The 18,579-nt window shown below is 39.2% G+C and overlaps 1 protein-coding gene across 35 annotated transcripts in view; it reads right to left on the bottom strand.

Annotated features, from left to right (window-relative positions):
- CCDC171 (coiled-coil domain containing 171) overlaps positions 1-18,579 on the bottom strand; it is a 556,042-nt gene that overhangs the window by 396,910 nt on the left and 140,553 nt on the right. For all 35 annotated transcript variants that reach the window (XR_007061261.1, XR_001746227.3, XR_001746228.3 and 32 more), the window contains one exon: positions 16,680-16,782. Coding sequence is in view for 30 of the 35 variants with exons in the window: in XM_047422930.1 (XP_047278886.1) it covers positions 16,680-16,782 (103 nt within the window). In the remaining 5 variants the exon portion in view is untranslated. The remainder of the gene's footprint in view (positions 1-16,679; positions 16,783-18,579) is intronic.

The following is an 18,579-nucleotide window of genomic DNA, read 5'->3' as shown; positions in this document are numbered from 1 at the left end:
AGGACTTCAAACTCAGACTAGAACCATACAGCTCTCCCGGATAATAGACCCTCCTGGAATACAGGTGTGGACCACCTCGCCAGAGATGGAACCATATCCAGCTGAGATGCTTGCTGACAGCAAAGCAATAGGGTATGGGTAGTAAAGGAAGTTAAAAATACCAGTTACATGTGACCAGATAGAAAAAGAAGGACTAAGTACAGAGTACAGACAGCCTCAACTTACAATGATTCAACTTAAGATTTCTCAACTTTACAATAGTGCCAAAGCAATACACATTCAATATGCTCCTCGACTTACAATGGGTTTATCTGACCTTACTTTCCCAGCTCCTCCCACAATTGCATAAGGTCTAATTCTTACAACAAATTCCTTATTCAAAAATACTATAGTGGTTCTGACTACCCAATCAAACTCTAGCTTTACATGTTCTTATCTTATAATGCACACTTGATCTTCACAGTTACTTCTTATATTTATAATTCTTAATATTCTATCACTAAAATGGAAAAAAAGTCTACAATTTCTCCTAAAGAGAAATAATAAGAACAAGCCTAGTAAAGGCAAAATGTAATTAAACCTATCATAACAAATATGATAGTGTTAAACAGGATATGAATTGAGAAACAAAAATTGAAAATTCAAACTGATATAGGTCAAAGACTTATAGAACTCAAAAAAGAAGTGTACAAGATGAAGAATTTAAAGTGAATTTTTAAAAATATACAATTTTAAAGAAAATCAGAGGCCAAGCCTTAATCAAGCCTTCAATTCTGTACTGTCCAATCTGTGGATAGTAAAATTTATTTAACAGTGATTATTCGTATTCATATTTAAATTAGTTAAAATTAAATTTTCAATTCCTTAGTCACGATAGTAATATTAAAAGCACTTAATAGCCACATGTGGCTAGAGTCTACTATACTAGAACAACAGATACAGAACATTTCCATTACTGCAGATTCCATTACCAATTGGGAGAAAATCTACAGAACAAAAAAACATGTTAAACTATACAATGGGATGCAATCAGAAAAATGCAGGCTGTGAAACTCCTAGAACAAATGAAACAGTTTTTTAACAAATAAATTTCAAACAAAAATGATAAAAAGAGACAGAAGGCCGGGTACGGTGGCTCACGCCTGTAATCTCAGCACTTTGGGAGGCCGAGGCAGGTGGATCACTTGAGGTCCGGAGTTCAAGACCATCCTGGTCAACACGGCAAAACCCCATCTCTACTAAATAATACAAAAATTAGCTGTACGTGTTGGTGCACACCTGTAGTCTCAGGTACGCGGGAGGATGAGGCAGGAGAATCGCTTGAACCTGGGAGATGGAGGTTGCAGTGAGCTGAGATTGTGCCACCGTACTCCAGCCTGGAGAAGAGTGAGACTCCATCTCAAAAAAATGAAAGAGGGCCTGGCACAGTGGCTCACACCTGTAATCCCAGCACTTTGGGAGGTCGAGGCGGGCGGATCATGAGGTCAGGAGATTGAGACCATCCTGGCTAACATGGTGAAACCCCATCTACCAAAAACACAAAAAAATTAGCGGGGCATGGTGGCAGGCACCTGCAGTCCCAGCTACCTGGGAGGCTGAGGCAGGAGAGTGGCATGAACCTGGGAGGTGGAGCTTGCAGTGAGCTGAGATGGCGCCACTCCAGCCTGGGTGACAGAGTGAGACTCCATCTCAAAAAAGAAAGAGAGAGAGAGAGAGAGACAGAAGAGGAGAGGAACCTACAGATTTTTTAAAATCAGCCAACCATAATATCTAGACCTTCTCTGCATACTAATTTAAACTAACTGATATTATATGAGATATACAAGAAACTTTGAAATTTATGACACTAAGAAATTTTTAACTTTTTACATATTATAATGATCTTATATTTATATTTTTAAAAGACTTCATTTTTTAGAGTCAAAGTTAAATATTTATGAATACAATTAAACATATTTTCATGTTTTCAATATAATACAGCAGATATCTGTATTATACAGATATATAATACAGAAATAGCTGGGATATGCTTTCAATATAATACAGCAGAGGGGAAGTAGATGAAACAAAATTGGTTCTTAAGTTGATAAATGTTGATCTGAGTGATGAGGGCAACAGATTTTGTTACACTATTCTGCCTCCTTTTGTACATATTTGAAATTTTTCATAAAAAAAGATATGCAATTAATTACTGGATGAATTTGAAGGAAGAAAGATCATAGGAGGATCTTATCTTTTTTGAAGTAAACTTTACTGAGGTTTCTCTTGGGAGTAAGAAAAAACATGTTCATTATACATATTTCTGCTCTTATAGGTAACACATTTTTCCTTTATTCTTATAGTTTTAAAAATTTCAAAAATATATTTAAATGCAGGTGTTATTTGATTATTTTTCCCTGTAAAGCAGTGATCTCATCTGGCATGCTACAATCTTTTTTATCTCAAACAAGTATTTTTGAATTATGTCTTCAATTATTACATTTGTTTCATTTACTCTAGTTTTTGCCTTAGAAAGACGTACAATCTTTTCATTGGTACTCCATATTATCATCTTTTCCCTCTGTTTTTCTTTCCTTATCTGTTTTAATTCTTTGTTCTTTTCCTCTGCATTTTATCTGTGTTCTTTTTTCTACATTTTGTCCTCCAAATCACCAATCTAAAATGTTAATTGTAGACTGTAGATTTTCTAATGTCAATTCTGTCATAGCTACTCACAATTTTAATCTACTATCCTATTTTTAGTTTCCTTAGACTCCTTCCTTATGTCATTCTTTTACCTGTTAATCTTACTGGGTTTTTTCGGAGTAGGAGGAGAATTAACCTTTTTCTATTTCAGCCTATTCTTTCCTTATTAATCCCATTTGAAAAAGGTCATTTCTTTTTGTAGCCTACTGTGGATGCCAAATAGCTTCTAAATTTTATTCCAATTTCCATGGTGAATCATTTCACCACTCTGTTCTAAATGTACCAGGTACTGTTCCTTTCCCCTCGTTTTGTGGTGCTTAGTTTTTCACAAATTCTATTTAGTTTTCCTTAATTTTTAAATGAAAAAAAAGAGTAAAACCCTAACAATATTTAGAAAGTTTGAAAAAAGACTGTATGTATAAATTCTCCAAAGTTCTACTCTGAATCAATTACATGGTGATAAAACTCCCTCTAAGATCAATATCTGAAGCTACATGAGTGTACACAGTTCCTATTATATTTTTCAGCAAGCAGCAATCCCTGAACTTAGGTGGTATCATCTCCCAATCTACTCCCTGGACTTCTGGCACATATAGTTAGATAGACTATAGGGAAAATTTTATCTCTAGTATGAACTGCTACCAATGTTTTTTTTTTGTCTTGATTCCTAGAGATAATACAAAGGAGACTTCTCAGAACTTTACCTCCAATCCGTGGGTCATTCCTGGCTAGCTGTATTCTGGGAGTTACACGGAGATGGTATGGGAGTTGAAAGAAAGATGGGGAGAATACTCTTATTGCCTCAGAAAGCAGCACCTACACAGTAGAAAGATAGCTTCCCAATTTTCTAGTTGGTACAGACCCTCCATTTCCAAAAGAGGGAGGATACCGTGGCAGGAGAACAAAATGTCTGTCTACTGTCATAGGATAAGTCAAAGGGAAGCTGATTGTACTTTCATTCCAGTTCTATTGACTACGTATTATATATACTCTCCCCAAGGGAGGGTGAATATTTATTTGATTTCCAGCATTACTATGTGTTTTCAACATTTCTGTGCAATCATTAGTATGAAAGTGTGGAACTATTTTATAGGAGGCTACCAGGCTGTTGACACTTTAAACTTGATTGTTTGCAAATCATAAATAACAACATAGGCACGAAGAAATGCTTAATAATCAGTATTTTGGGGGTGCAGTGGCTCATGCCTGTAATCCCAACACTTTGGGAGGCCAAGACGGGCAGATCACCTGAAGTCAGGAGTTCAAGACCAGCCTGGCCAACATGATGAAACCCCATCTCTACTAAAAGTACAAAAATTAGCCAGGCGTAGTGCTGGATGCCTGTAATCCCAGCTACCTGAGAGGCTGAGGCTGGAGAAGTGCTTAAACCCAGGAGGTGGAGGTTGCAGTGAGCCAGGATCATGCCACTGCATTTCAGCCTGGGCGACAGAGCAAGACTCCATCTCAAAATAATAATATTAATAATCAGCATTTTTAATTATCTGAATGTTTTCTTTATACAATACTATACTCTCTACAAACAATTTAAAACTTAAAGAGAAATAAGGATAACAAGATGAAACACAATGAATTGTTTCAGTTCCGTCATTTAAAATTCACGTCTCCAGAAAAAGTAGGAAAGAGAAGGAGAATAATAGTATGTTTTTAAACTTTGGGATGAATGATAACACTCCATTTCTAGGAAAGTCTATGAAGTTGAGATATAACTGTAAAGTAAGGAAGGGAGAAAGTGGATAAATAAAAAGAAGGCAGAAAATCCAAAGAGAAGAGAACAAGAAGACTACAAAAGATGGTTGGAAATGAGTAGTGATTAGCATAAAGTTAAATGGCATAGTCTCACTTTATTCCAACTATCAACTACCTTTAACATACTCTGAATAGATGAAGCAAAATAGAAATGAGTTTCTATTGTTATCAAATCGTAACCAAAGTAGCTATGCCTGAAACAAAATATTCTGACATTTACAAGCATTCTTTGCATTAAGAAAAGTCAAAAAATGTACATTGGCATATATTAATGACCTCATTACAAAATGTTGAGTACTCAGTAAAGCTACTCCCTTGGATTTCATAAACTGAAACTATGAGTATAATGAAGTGCGGCAAGTTTGGTTTGTAAACCTCAGTGAATTAGGAGATAAGGGAAGCCAGAGAGAAAAAATCTGCAAATGACAACAGAGGAAACGGTGTACTGCTCCTACAGCCATCCTCAGCTCCTCAACCACCCATGAGACTCTAGTTAAAAAGATACCAGCTACAAGGTTCACAAGAACAATTAAAAATTCTCAAGAGGATACTAGGTGTAGGCAATATTCCTTTATGAAAGAAGTAAAGCAGGAAAGGGGGGAGGAAAAATCCAATTTGTTGTCTTGATTTTCCCAAGAGCACTCCCTGAGACTGCCCAATTCCTGGGTGACACATACATGCCCAAAGGAATCAAATGCTACTGCTTTTATTTCCTGGGATCCTTCAGCCTCTCTAAGTAAAAAGGAAAAGAACACCTCTAGAGTATTACAAATTATTTCCTCAAGGAAAGCTGAAGAAAGTTGGAGTCTCAGTGAACATGAAAGTCAACCACCCTAAAAAAATTCAAGACTGAGCCACAAGGAAGACTTTCTTTCATGAATCCTAAGAAGAAAAAGTCACATTCTTGATGTTTGCTGACACCCTCAGGCATAAGTGAAACTATTAGAAGAAATACTCACAGCAAAAATACTACATGGGGCTGGGCACAGTAGCTTACACCTATAATCGCAGCACTTTGGGAGGCTGGGGTGGGAGGATTGCTTAAACTCAGCAGTTGGAGACCAGCCTGGGCAACATGGTGAAATCCCATCTCTATAAAAAATACAAAATTTAGCCAAGCATGATGGCATGTGCTGTAGTCCCAGCTACTTGGGAGCTGAGGTGGGAGGATCACTTGAGCCCAGAAGGTTGAGACTGCAGTGAGCCATGACTGCACCACTGCACTCCAGCCCAACCAACAGAGTGAGATCCTGCCAAGAAAAGAAAAGATGCAGAAAAAGAAAGGAAGGAAGAAAGGAAGGAAGGAAGGAAGGAAGGAAGCAAGGAAGGAAGGAAGGAAGGAAGGAAGACTACATGGGTTCAAAGCAGAAAAAGATTTCCCCACACACATCCTACTATAAGAATTTCTACCTGAAAAGAAATGAGACAGGAGCAACTGTAGTGCTTCAATTTTAGTTGATAGTAGAAAGCAGAAATAGGAAATAAATGTCCCTAATGATAGAGGCAATCAAGATGGCATTTCTATGATCCATGAAAGATTGTACATCTGTTCCACTGGAGGTCAATCTTTCTGGTGACTCCTTATGGATGCTACCCAAAGAGCTGCTGTAATTTAGAAAGAGATTCCATGATCACCTTTATAACTTCAAAACTTAAAATGTAAAATAGACCTTCAACCTGATATTAATTCATTCATATTTTTATTCATATTCGACAAATACTTTTTGAGTGACTGTTTTGTGCCAAGTACTATTCTAGCTGCTTAAAATACACTAATGATTAAAGGAGACAAAGATTCTCATCCTCATGGAACTGAAATATAATAATAAATGTTCCATATACTATGATAGAAATGTTTGACTGCAATAGGTGCTATGGGGGAAAAAAGTAGAGCATGCAAGGGAGAGACACAGTGAGCCCAAATAACATAGGAGTGGGAAGTAAGCAAGCTTCATGGACAAGGTGAGATCTGAGCACAGGCCGAAGGAAGACAAGAAAGAGAGCTATACAGATACACTAGGTAAAAAGCTTTCTGGGTAGAAGGAATGGTCAGTACAAAGGCATCTAAGGCAAAAGCATGCTTGGCATATTCAAGAAATGGCAAGAAGCTAGAGTGGCCCAAACATAGGGAAGGAGGGGAGAGTAGTGGGAGGTGAGGCCAAAGAAGCAATGAAAAATAAGCAAGCCATTGATACCATTTTGGCTTCTAAGTAAAGCACAGGACCTTACAAGGTTTAGAGCAAAGGAATGACACACTCTAACTTAGGTTTTTTGTTGTTGTAGTTTCCGTCCAGCTTTACAGAAGTATAATTGCCAAAAAAGATTATATACATTCAAGGTGCAAAACTTCATTACTTGATATCCATATACACTATGAAATGATTACCACAACCAAGTTAATTAACACGTCCATCACCACACTTAGTTATCTGAGTGAGTGAGAGTGTGTGTGTGTGTGTGTGTGTGTGTGTGTCGTAAGGATACTTAAGATCTATTAGCAAATTTCAAGTAAACAGTATTATTTCAGCATTATTAACTATTGTCACCATGTTGTACATTAGATCCCCAGAACTTACTCTATACCTGTAAGTTTGTAACCTAAGCTCATAAATGGTCCTTCTGGTAGCTACAGAGAAAACAGACTGAGGGGGAGCAAAGGTGGAAGCAGAGAGACCCCATTAGTCACAAGAAGGCCAGGGTTAGAGGCATTAGGAAACAAGGTGTAAACTGTTACACTGATCACAGGTGAGGAGATCAAGTTAAATCCTCTCGGTAAATAACTTCTGGAACGTCTTGGACTTACTGAAATTTCACTTATCTGCTACCTGAATATAAGCTGGTGGGACATGTGCATCGGAAAGTTTCTTAATGTAGAAAACTACAAAATCTGAAGGAGACAGAGAATTGAAAATCTGAGAATTTCTGCCAGCTCTAAGTTAAGATTAATTCAAGAAAATAGTTTTCATTCATTTCATTTTGAAAAGCAAGCCCAAAAAACAATTTTGCTACTGTCCCTATAAATTTCTACCATGGATTACTTTTCCTGAAATAGAGGTTAGATACAAAGCATGTATTAAACTGAAAGGTATGTCAAGAGACAAAAAGGAGGTAAAGCGCCACTGCCTTCTTGCCGTAGCTAAAAAAGAGAAGATCTCTGGAAAATTCTTCCCAAGATAACAGAATTAATTATTTACTTATTCATTTGTTAAAGATGGGATCTCATTATGTTGCCCAGTCTGGACTTGAACTCCTAGGCTCAAGTAATCCTCTTCCTTCAGCCTCGGGAGTAGCTGGGACCATATGTGCACACCTAGCACTTGATTAATGAATTAATTTTGTTACAAATTCTAAGAATGTGCTACAAACAAATACACACAAATGTCACTATTTAAAGTAGATTTTTCCCTCAAAGATATCCTAACATACCTTGTTTTATTGCATTTCATTCTACAGTGCTTCACAGGTATTGCGATTTTTACAAACTGCAGGTTTGTGGCAACCTACCTTGAGCAAGTCTATTGGCATCATGTTTCCAACAGCATGTGCTCTCTTTGTGTCTCCATGTCATATTTTGGTAATTCTTGCAGTATTTCAAAGTTTTTCATGATTACTATATATATTATGGTGATCTATGATCAGTGATCTTTAATGTTATTATTGTAATTGTTTTGGGACACCACAAACCATGCCCATAGAAGATGGTGAACTTAACCAATAAATGTTGTATGCTCTAGTATGGAGGTTTCTCAAAAAACTAAAAATAGAACTAGCATATGATCCAGCAATCCCACTGCTGAGTATGTATCCAAAAGAAATGAAATCAGTGTCTCACAGAGATATCTTCAATCCCATGTTAACTGCAGTGCTATTCACAATAGCCAAATACAGAATCCACATAAGTGTCCATCAATGGATAAAGGGATATTTTAAGTGGGATATATACACATTGAAATATCACTCACCCATAGAAAAAGAATCCTGTCATTTGTGGCAACATGGATGAAACTGGAGGACATTATGTTAAGTGAAATAAGCCTGGCACAGAAAGACAAATACTACATGTTTTCACTCATACATGAGAGCTAAAAAAAAATTGATCTCATGGAGGTAGAGAGAAGAATGGTGGTTATCAGAGGCTGGTGGTGGGGTGGTAATGAAGAGAGATATATTAATGGATATAAACAAGGATTCGCCTTTCTAGAAGGTTTCTAGTTCACATTCGTGCTACTCCAGTGAACACATGAATGATAAGAAAGACAACCAGCCTTATTACCTATATGGAGAATGTTGTAATGGTCTGCGCAGATCAAACCAGCCACAACATTCTCTTAAGCCAAAGCCTAATTAAAAACAAGGCCCGGCCGGGCGTGGTGGCTCAGGCCTGTAATCCCAGCACTTTGGGAGGCCAAGGCGGGCAGACCGCTTAAGGTCAGGAGTTCGAGACCAGCCTGGCTAACATGGTGAAACCCCGTCTCTACTAAAAATTAAAAAAAATTAGCTGGGTGTGGTGGCACACACCTGTAGTCCAAGCTACTCAGGTGGCTGAGGCAGGAGAATCGCTTGAACCCAGGAGAGGGAGGTTGCAGTGAGCAGAGATCGCGCCACTGCACTCCAGCCTGGGCAACAGAGTGAGACTCCGTCTCAGGGAAAAAAAAAAAAAAACCAAGGCCCTAACTCTCTTTAATTTGATGAAGGCTGAGAGAGGTGAGGAAGCTGCAGAAGAAAAGGTGAAAGCTAGGAGAGATTGGTTTATGAAGTTCAAGGAAAAAAGCCTTCTGCATAACACAAAAGTGTAAGGCCAAACAGCAAATGCTGATGTAGAAGCTGTAGCAAGTTATCCGCAGATCTAGCTAAAATCCCCGATGCAGGTAGCTACACTAAACAACAGATTTTCAGTGAAGACTAAACAGTCTTTTGTTGCAAAATGTCACCTAGGACTTTTACAGCTAGAGGGGAGAAGTCAATGCCTGGCTTTAAGGCTTCAAAGACAGGCTGACTCTCTTGTTAGGGGCTAATGTGGCTGGTGACTTTAAGTTGAAGCCAATGCTCATTTGCCATTGAAAAAATCCTAGGGCCCTTAAGAATTATGCTTTATCTACTCTGCCTATGCATTTATAGAGCATTTATAGAGCAGAGGGAGAGTAGATATAGAATAATTCTTAAGGGCCCTAGGATTTTTTCAATGGTAAATGAGCATTGGCTTCAACTTAAACTGACAAGCTACATTACCAGCTACCAGGGCACAGGCAGAGTTGATAAAGCATAATTCTTAAGGGCCACAGGATTTTTGAATGGTAAATGAGCACTGGCTTCAACTTGGATGACAAGTTGGAACAGCTCATACGGATGACAGCTCATCTCTTTACAGAATGTTTAACTGAATATTTTAAGCCCACTGTTGAGACTTACTACTCACAAAAAGATTCCTTTCAAAACATTATTGTTCATTGACAATGTACTTGGTCACCCAAGAGCTCTGAGATGTATAAGGAGATTAATGTTGTTTTCAAGCCTGGTAACACAACATCCATTCTGTAGCCCATGGATCAAGAAGTAATTTTTACTTTCAAGTCTTATCATTTAATAAATACATTTCATAAGGCTATAGCTGCCATAGATGGTGATTCCTCTGATGGATCTGGGCAAATTATATTGACAACTTCTGCAAAGAATTCACCATTCCAGGTGCCATTAGAAACACTTGTGATACATGGGAGTAAGTCAATATGTCACAGGAATTTGGAAGAAGTTGATTCCAATCCTCGTGGATGACTTTGAGGAGTTCCTTATAAAATGACAATAAAGGATTTAGGATATTACATAAATGTAGTTGATAAACCAGCAGCAGAGTCTGAGACAATTGACCTCAATTTTAAAAGAAATTGTACTCCGGAGAGGCGGAGGTTGCAGTGAGCCAAGATCGTGCCACTGCGCTCCAGCCCGGACAACAGTGCGATACTCTGTCTCAAAAAAAAAAAAAAAAAAAATGGAATTGTACTGAGGGTAAAATGGTATCAAATAGCATGGCATGGTACAGAGAATTCTTTCATGAAAATAAGAGTCAACTGACGGAGCAAACTTCATCACTGTCATCTTAAGAAATTATATCCATATGTAGAAGAATGAAAGTAGACCCCTCTTCCTGTATTAAAAAATCAACTAAAAATGGAGTAAAGACTCAAACATAAGACCTGAAACTACAAAACTACTAGAAAAAACATATGAGAAATCCTTCAGGACACTGATCTAGGCAAAGATTTTATGGCTAAAACCTCAAAAGCACAGGCAACAAAAACAAAAATAAACCAAAGGGACTATATTAAACTACATAGCTTCTGCCCAGCAAAGGAAACAATCAACAGAGTGAAGAGACAACCTGTAGAATGGGAGAAAATATTTACAAACTATTCATCAAACAAGGGACTAATATCCAGAATACACAAGGAACTCAAACAACTCAACAGCAAAAAAACACCCAAACGATCCCAGTAAAAAGCACGCAAAGGACATAAGTAGACATTTCTCAAAAGAAGACATACTAATGGCCAATGAGTATATTTTAAAATGCTCAAATCATAAATTAGGGAAACGCAAATCAAAAGCACAATGAGATATCATCTCACCACAGTTAGAATGGCTAGTAGCAAAAAGACAAAAAAAAAAACTAATAATGGGGAAGATGTGGATAAAAGAGAACTCTTATACATTGTTGGTGGGAATGTAAATTAGTACAGCTATTATGAAAATAGTATGGAGATTTCTCAAAAAATCTAAAAATAAGCCAGGCATGGTGGCATGCACCTGCAGTCCCAGCTACTCAGGAGGATGAAGTGGGAGGACTGCTTGAGACCAAGAGTTTAAGACTAGCCTGGGCAACATCCCAAGAGTCTAACTCGTTAAAAAAAAAATACAAAATAAAAAAAATAAATAAAAGAAAACTAAAAATAAAGCTACCATATTGAGAGGTGACAGCGTGCTGGCAGTCCTCACAGCCCTCGCTTGCTCTCGGCGCCTCCTCTGCCTGGGCTCGAACCTTGGCGGCACTTAAGGAGCCCTTCAGCCCACCGCTGCACTGTGGGAGCCCCTTTCTGGGCTGGCCAAGGCCGCAGCCCACTCCCTCAGCTTGCAGGGAGGTGTGGAGGGAGAGGCGTGAGTGGGAACCGGGGCTGCGCGCAGCGCTTGCAGGCCAGCTGGAGTTCCGGGTGGGCGTGGGCTTGGCGGGCCCCACACTCAGAGCAGCCGGCCGGCCCTGCCAGCCCCGGGCAATGAGGGGCTTAGCACCCGGGCCAGCGGCTGCAGAGGGTGTACGGGGTCCCCCAGCAGTGCCAGCCCACCGGCGCTGTGCTCGATTTCTCACCGGGCCTTAGCTGCCTTCCCGTGGGGCAGGGCTCAGCACCTGCAGCCCGCCATGCCTGCCTCCCACCCCCTCCATGGGCTCCTGTGCACCGGAGCCTCCCTGATGAGCACTGCCCCCTGCTCCACGGCACCCAGTCCCATCGACCACCCAAGGGCTGAGGAGTGCGGTCACACGGCACGGGACTGGCAGGCAGCTCCACCTGCAGCCCGGGTGCGGGATCCACTGGGTGAAGCCAGTTGGGCTCCTGAGTCTGGTGGGGACGTGGAGAATCTTTATGTCTAGCTCAGGGAATATAAATACACCAATCGGCACTCTGTATCTAGCTCAAGGTGTGTAAACACACCAATCAGCACCCTGTGTCTAGCTCAGGGTTTGTAAATGCACCAATCGTCACTCTGTATCTGGCTACTCTGGTGGGACCTTGGAGAACCTTTATGTCTAGCTCAGGGATTGTAAATACACCAATCGGCACTCTGTATCTAGCTCAAGGTTTGTAAACACACCAATCAGTACCCCGTGTCTAGCTCAGTGTTTGTGAATTCACCAATCGACACTCTGTATCTAGCTACTCTGGTGGGGCCTTGGAGAACCTTTGTGTCGACACTCTGTACCTAACTAATCTGGTGGGGACGTGGAGAACCTTTGTGTCTAGCTCAGGGATAGTAAACGCACCAATCAGTGCCCTGTCAAAACAGACCACTTGGCTCTACCAATCAGCAGGACGTGGGTGGGGCCGGATAAGAGAATAAAAAGAGGCTGCCCAAGCCAGCAGTGGCAACCCGCTCGGGTCCCCTTCCACACTGTGGAAGCTTTGTTCTTTCACTCTTTGCAATAAATCTTGCTACTGCTCACTCTTTGGGTCCACACTGCTTTTATGAGCTGTAACACTCACCGCGAAGGTCTGCAGCTTCACTCCTGAGCCAGCGAGCCCACGAGCCCACCGGGAGGAACGAACAACTCCAGACGCGCCACCTTAAGACCTGTAACACTCACCACGAGGGTCCGCAGCTTCACTCCTGAACCAGCGAGACCAAGAACCCACCAGAAGGAAGAAACTCCGAACACATCTGAACACCAGAAGGAACAAACTCTGGACACGCTGCCTTCAAGAACTGTTAACGCTCACCGCAAGGGTCCACGGCTTCATTCTTGAAGTCAGTGAGACCAAGTAACCACCAATTCCGGACACAATATGATCCAGCAATCCCACTACAGATATTTATCCAAAGGAAAGAAAATCAGTATATCAAAGGGATACCTGCACTGTCATATAAACTAGAGTATTATTCACAATAACCAAGATATAGAATCAACCTAAGTGTCTAGCAATGGATAAATGGATAAAGAAAATGTGGTATAAGCCAGATGCTACCATACCTAAAGTCCTAGCTATTTAGGAGGCTGAGGCAGGAGGATTGTTTGAGCCCAGGAATTCTAGGCTATCCTGAGCAACACAGCAACACACTGTCTCTAAAAAAATAAAAGAAAGAGTATATGATGTGTGTGTGTATATACATACATATACACGCACATACAGACACATAATGGAATACTATCCAGCCATAAAAAAGAATGAAACCCTGTCATTTGTAGCAACGTAAATAAAACTGGAGGTCATTATGTTAAGTTAAATAAGCCAGGCACTGAAAGACAAATATCCTATGTTCCTTTTTTTTTTTTTTTTTTTGAGACGGGGTCTTGCTCTGTTGCCCAGGCTGGAGTGCAGTGGCACGATCTCAGCTCACTGCAAGCTCCGCCTCCCAGGTTCATGCCATTCTCCTGCCTCAGCCTCCCGAGTAGCTGGGACTACAGGCACCCGCCACCACGCCTGGCTAATTTTTTGTATTTTTAGTAGAGACGGTGTTTCACCGTGTTAGCCAGGATGGTCTCAATCTCCTGACCTCGTGATCCACCCCCCTCGGCCTCCCAAAGTGCTGGGATTACAGGCGTGAGCCACCGCGCCTGGCCCTTATGTTCTTACTCACACATGAGAGCTAAAAAAGCAGATCTCACAGAGGTAGAGAGTAGAATGGTGGTTACTAGTGGCAGTGTGGAGGATGGTATTGAAGAGAGGTAGATTAATGGGTATAAACATATAGTTAGAAGAAATAAGTTCTAGAGTTCAATAGCACAGTATTGAACTCTACAGTTAACAACAATACGTTTTATATTTCAAAATAGCCAGAAGATTTGAAATGTTCCCAATAGAAAGAAATGCTAAATGTTCAAGGTGACTGGTATCTTAAATACCCTGATTTGATGATTACACATATTTCATGCATGTATCAAAATATCACATGCACCCCATAAATGTGTATGAAAGTATGTAAAATTATTCTGTATCCATTTTTTAGGTAACAAAAAAGAAATTGCCACAGCTAACCCAACCTTCAGCCACCACCACCCTGATGAGTCAGCAGCCATCAACATCAAGGCAAGACTCTCCACCAGCAAAAAGGTTATGACTCACTGAAGGCTCAGATGATCATCAGCATTTTTTGGCAATAATGTATTTTTTAATTAAGGTATGTGGATTTTTTGACATAATGCTCTCACAACTTAATGGACTACACTATAGTATAAACATAACATTCAAACATACTGGGAAGCCGAAAAACTCGTGACTCACTTTTTTGCTTATGTAACAAAAACCCAATCTGAGCAGAAACAGAGTCCATTATAAAGGCACAGAGCTGTTTTATGCAAGCCAATAGGAGGAATGAAACCAGATCCCAAGGAGTTATGTAAATCAATCAGGATGTAAATTAAATACTCAGAAGAGGTCATCAGCAAGATAGTTTAATGACGAGACTACAGAAATGTGTACAGGTTAACAGATCCCAAAAGGTATGATGAGGCACCAAAAGCAAGCAAGAGTAGAAAACTAATATTATGTCTTAGCTTAAAAGGTCAAGTGGAGAGAATGTCACCATAGTCTAACAAGAGCCACAGCCATGAAAGAGGGCCCACCCAACAGGCACTGTGGCTGCTGAAAAATGAAGCCACTGCCAAAAATGCAGTGGAGCAGAGGAAGCAGAGGAAATAAACACTTCGACTGCTTTATTCTGTCATTCCCTTAATCTCCTGTGGGTGCACCTACTGTCCAAACCTAACCAGAAGCCAGAAGGTAAAGGAGCCCAGATCCACAGAAGGCAGCCTCCCAAGGCACACAGCAAAACAGAACAGAGGAGAATGGATCAGCAAGGGGAGAAGGGTGTAAAGGAGAGAAAAATCAGCACAAAATGGAAACATGTTACCACTCTGTAACAATCCAAAAATCACTAATTCAGTGCACAGTCCTTTCGCAGGAACACATTCCCTGGAATACACAAAGTATGCATCTATACAGAAAATTAGGAAGATAAAGATAAAAAAGGATGGTTAATAAAAGAATAAAAATTAAAATTTTAATAGAAAATTCTGTAGGCTTAGTAATAACTTCTGAGTTGCTTTGTTACCAACTATTTTACTTTAAAACTCAAACGAGACATGACCACATTATTCTTAGCTTTTCTAATTCAACTCTGAAGAAATATTTAAAATAATATTGAGGCATATGCTATACTGCGACAATATTTAACAATTTTTAAAGATCCTAACACCATTAAACACCACTGATACATCTCAATAATAAAAAAGTACCAGTGCAAAGGAAAATTTTCTCCTCCAAAGCTGTAACAAATATAATTGAAACTGGATACCTGCACCTACTTTTATGACACTTTTATATCTTTTGATTTGTCCATGATAACAAATTATGATTATGATACAGTAATGCTTTTGGGAAAAGTTTACATAAAAACAAAGATAGTTACACATTAATTTCATAAAAGCTAAAAACACAGAGACTTAAAACATAGACAATAGCAAAGCACACTACATTTCTAATAGCTTACCAACTGAGAAATCTACAGATCCACAAGGCAAAATATGAACCTTGATGAGGTCCTTCCAAGTTTTCAAGGACAAAAACTTCCTGAACTTAAGAGCTCTCTAAAGAACTTATTTGCCAAATTGCTGTTAGATTCCTTTTAAAAATGTTTTCTTAAATTTCTCAATTTTTAAGAGTGAGAAATTTAATTTTATGTGCCTTTTGAAGAATAGAATTGTGTTAGAAGACCACCAAATAATTCAGGGCTGAAAGCAGGGCAAAAGAAAACTGAGGTAGAAAAGTATTTATGTCAAAGCTACTATAGCACACATAATAACATAAACACAAAACACTAAGAAAGTAGAAATAGTGAACAGAATTCATTAGCCAGCCATTGCTTTTGCTAGTTCTCAAAATATGTCTACCTAATTAATATATAATTTTATAGCTCTTTATCATATGAAGTGGGCTAATAACTACAACTAAAATATTCTACCTAAGCATTCTTATCTGGACAGTATATGTATATGGTAGTAGGAAATGAAAACCAGCTTAGAAAACCGGCTTGGAAAGTATAGAACATGCGCTATGCTACAGCCTGTGTCCTACATAACCTTTTAAATGCATGACCTTTAAGTTGCTGAAGGTTGCCTCAGAATTTGGCTCAGTTTGATCGAAACATCTGTTCCCCTTGCAGGTATACTGTAAGGACTTTTTTCTCAGTTGGATTCAGAACACAGCAAGTGAGCCCTTGTCTGTCCAATCACACACACCCCAACACTTGTAAATCAAGTTCTGGGAGGACAACAGCAGGTCCATATTCCGTCACCCTTTCTCAGCCAGCTAGGCCAACTGACTGCTGTGAGAACTGCTCTTATCATGTCATCAAATCAAAACATGTTGAGATGAGGGACTACAAGAGGCATCTGCAGAATTCCCAAAATGTAGTGACTTTGGAACATTGACAGATGCATCTGTCATTTTATACCTTCAACTAACCTGATGTCCACTGGCCCGACACAGTAAAGCTGTCCAAGATCGATTCCAATTCTTTCACGTTATTTTCACATGTCTCTACTAGGAAGGCCTGGTGCTTCTTAGCCTTTTAATTAAGAAAAAAATTACACATAAGGTCACGTATTATAAGAGCTGCATATTTTTAGTGTGAACATATATAACACAAGTATAAACAAGATAATGATTCCATTCAAATATATTATTAATAAACCATCTTTCTCTCTTAATCATACCTTTTACTTGGCTTAATGTAACACTGTACAAGGTCTTATTAACAATTTACTGAGGAGTTAGTGCCTGGCACTATTCTAAGTGTTTTATATATAGTAATTCATTTTATCCTCACAATAACCCTATGATGGAAAGGCTATTATTATCCCAATTTTAGAGACAAGAAAACTGAGACAGAGGAATTATGGAACACTTAAAAAATCATGACTACAGTCATATGGCAAGTTGCCAGATGGCAGTCAAAAGTGAAGACAGTTAAGACCAATTTGAAGTTACTGCAGCAGTCAAGTGACAGTACTTTGGTCTAGGGTATTGACAGTGAAAGGGGAAGAAGGGGTAGGGAATGGAAGCACTGGACAGAGACTAAGATGGTAGAATGGCCAGACTTTAGTAAAACTGCATTGGGTTAGACCACACTGATTGGACTGGATTGAACTGGATTGGATTGGATGAGGATAAGGGAAGTACGCAGAAAAAGAAGAGTTGAGACTGATCCCAAGATTTAAGTTAGATGAACTGGGTGGATTTCAGTAGTTGAATCAGAATAATGATGGTAGAGAGGGTCTCGTTTTGGCTATTTTTGTTTGTTTACTTGCTTGCTTCTTTTTGGCAGGAGGTATCAATCATGAATTCTATTTTAATCATATTCCACTAGAGATACCTAAGACACTCTACACCAGCACAATGCCTGTCAAATAACAGGTCCCAAATAAATATATGTGAATGAACAAATGACAAATAAAGTAGAAAAATATGGGAGGTGGCTGAATATAATTGGTGTAAATCTTAGAAGCAGGGTCAGGTATAGGTTTGGGAATCATCTACAGATACTGTCTGAAACTTGCCTTAAAGTGTTTGATGGGAAATGAAAAGAGCCTAGGACAAGTCTTATGGAACTCCAGCAATTTAATAGTTAGAAAAGAAGTCAGCAAACAAAACTAAAAAAAGAAGAAGAAAAACAGAAGGGGATACAAGATGTGGGAACATTTCAAGAAGTTCAGTAAGAGAGTTGTCAATCATGCCAATTGAAGCAAAATGGAGACTAAAAAGTGTCTCCTGGGTTTGGAAGTCATTGGTGACCTTGGTGAGATGTTTCACTGTGTTATAATAATTATAACACAGACTGGAATAGGTTAAAGAAGGAGTAAGCCTGAATTTTTTTTCTTGAGTGAGAGATGAGTAAATAGAAACAGGAAGTTTAGACAACTCTCTTGGTAAGAAGGAAGGTGAGATAAAGGGCAGTAGTTGGAAAGGAGGGAAGGGTCAGAGAAGAGTTTTGTTTTTATTTAATATATGAGAAACTTAAGCACATTTAAAGATTGATGTTAAAGGTATGTTTATAGATACAGAAAAAATGGAAGAATAGATATTATAAGACAAACTTACATCCTTAAAATATGTAAAATTAATTGATGTTTGTTTACATGTCAGCTCAACTATCACTTCCCCAGAAAAACTGTTCTTTACCTCCCTGACTATATCAACTCTCTATCACATTCATCTCAGCACTTATCACAATTATGATTCACTTTTATTTGAGTTGGTCTTTTATTAATGTGCCCATCTCATAGAATTTAAGCTCCATGAAGGGAGTAAATGTCTGTTTTTTTTTTTTGTCCTCACCAGTGTATCCCCAGTGTTTCCCCTAGGC

This window comes from Homo sapiens, chromosome 9, assembly GCF_000001405.40.
Source record: "Homo sapiens chromosome 9, GRCh38.p14 Primary Assembly".
NCBI classification, from domain to species: domain Eukaryota; kingdom Metazoa; phylum Chordata; class Mammalia; order Primates; family Hominidae; genus Homo; species Homo sapiens.
This window is presented reverse-complemented; position numbering and strand designations above follow the sequence as displayed.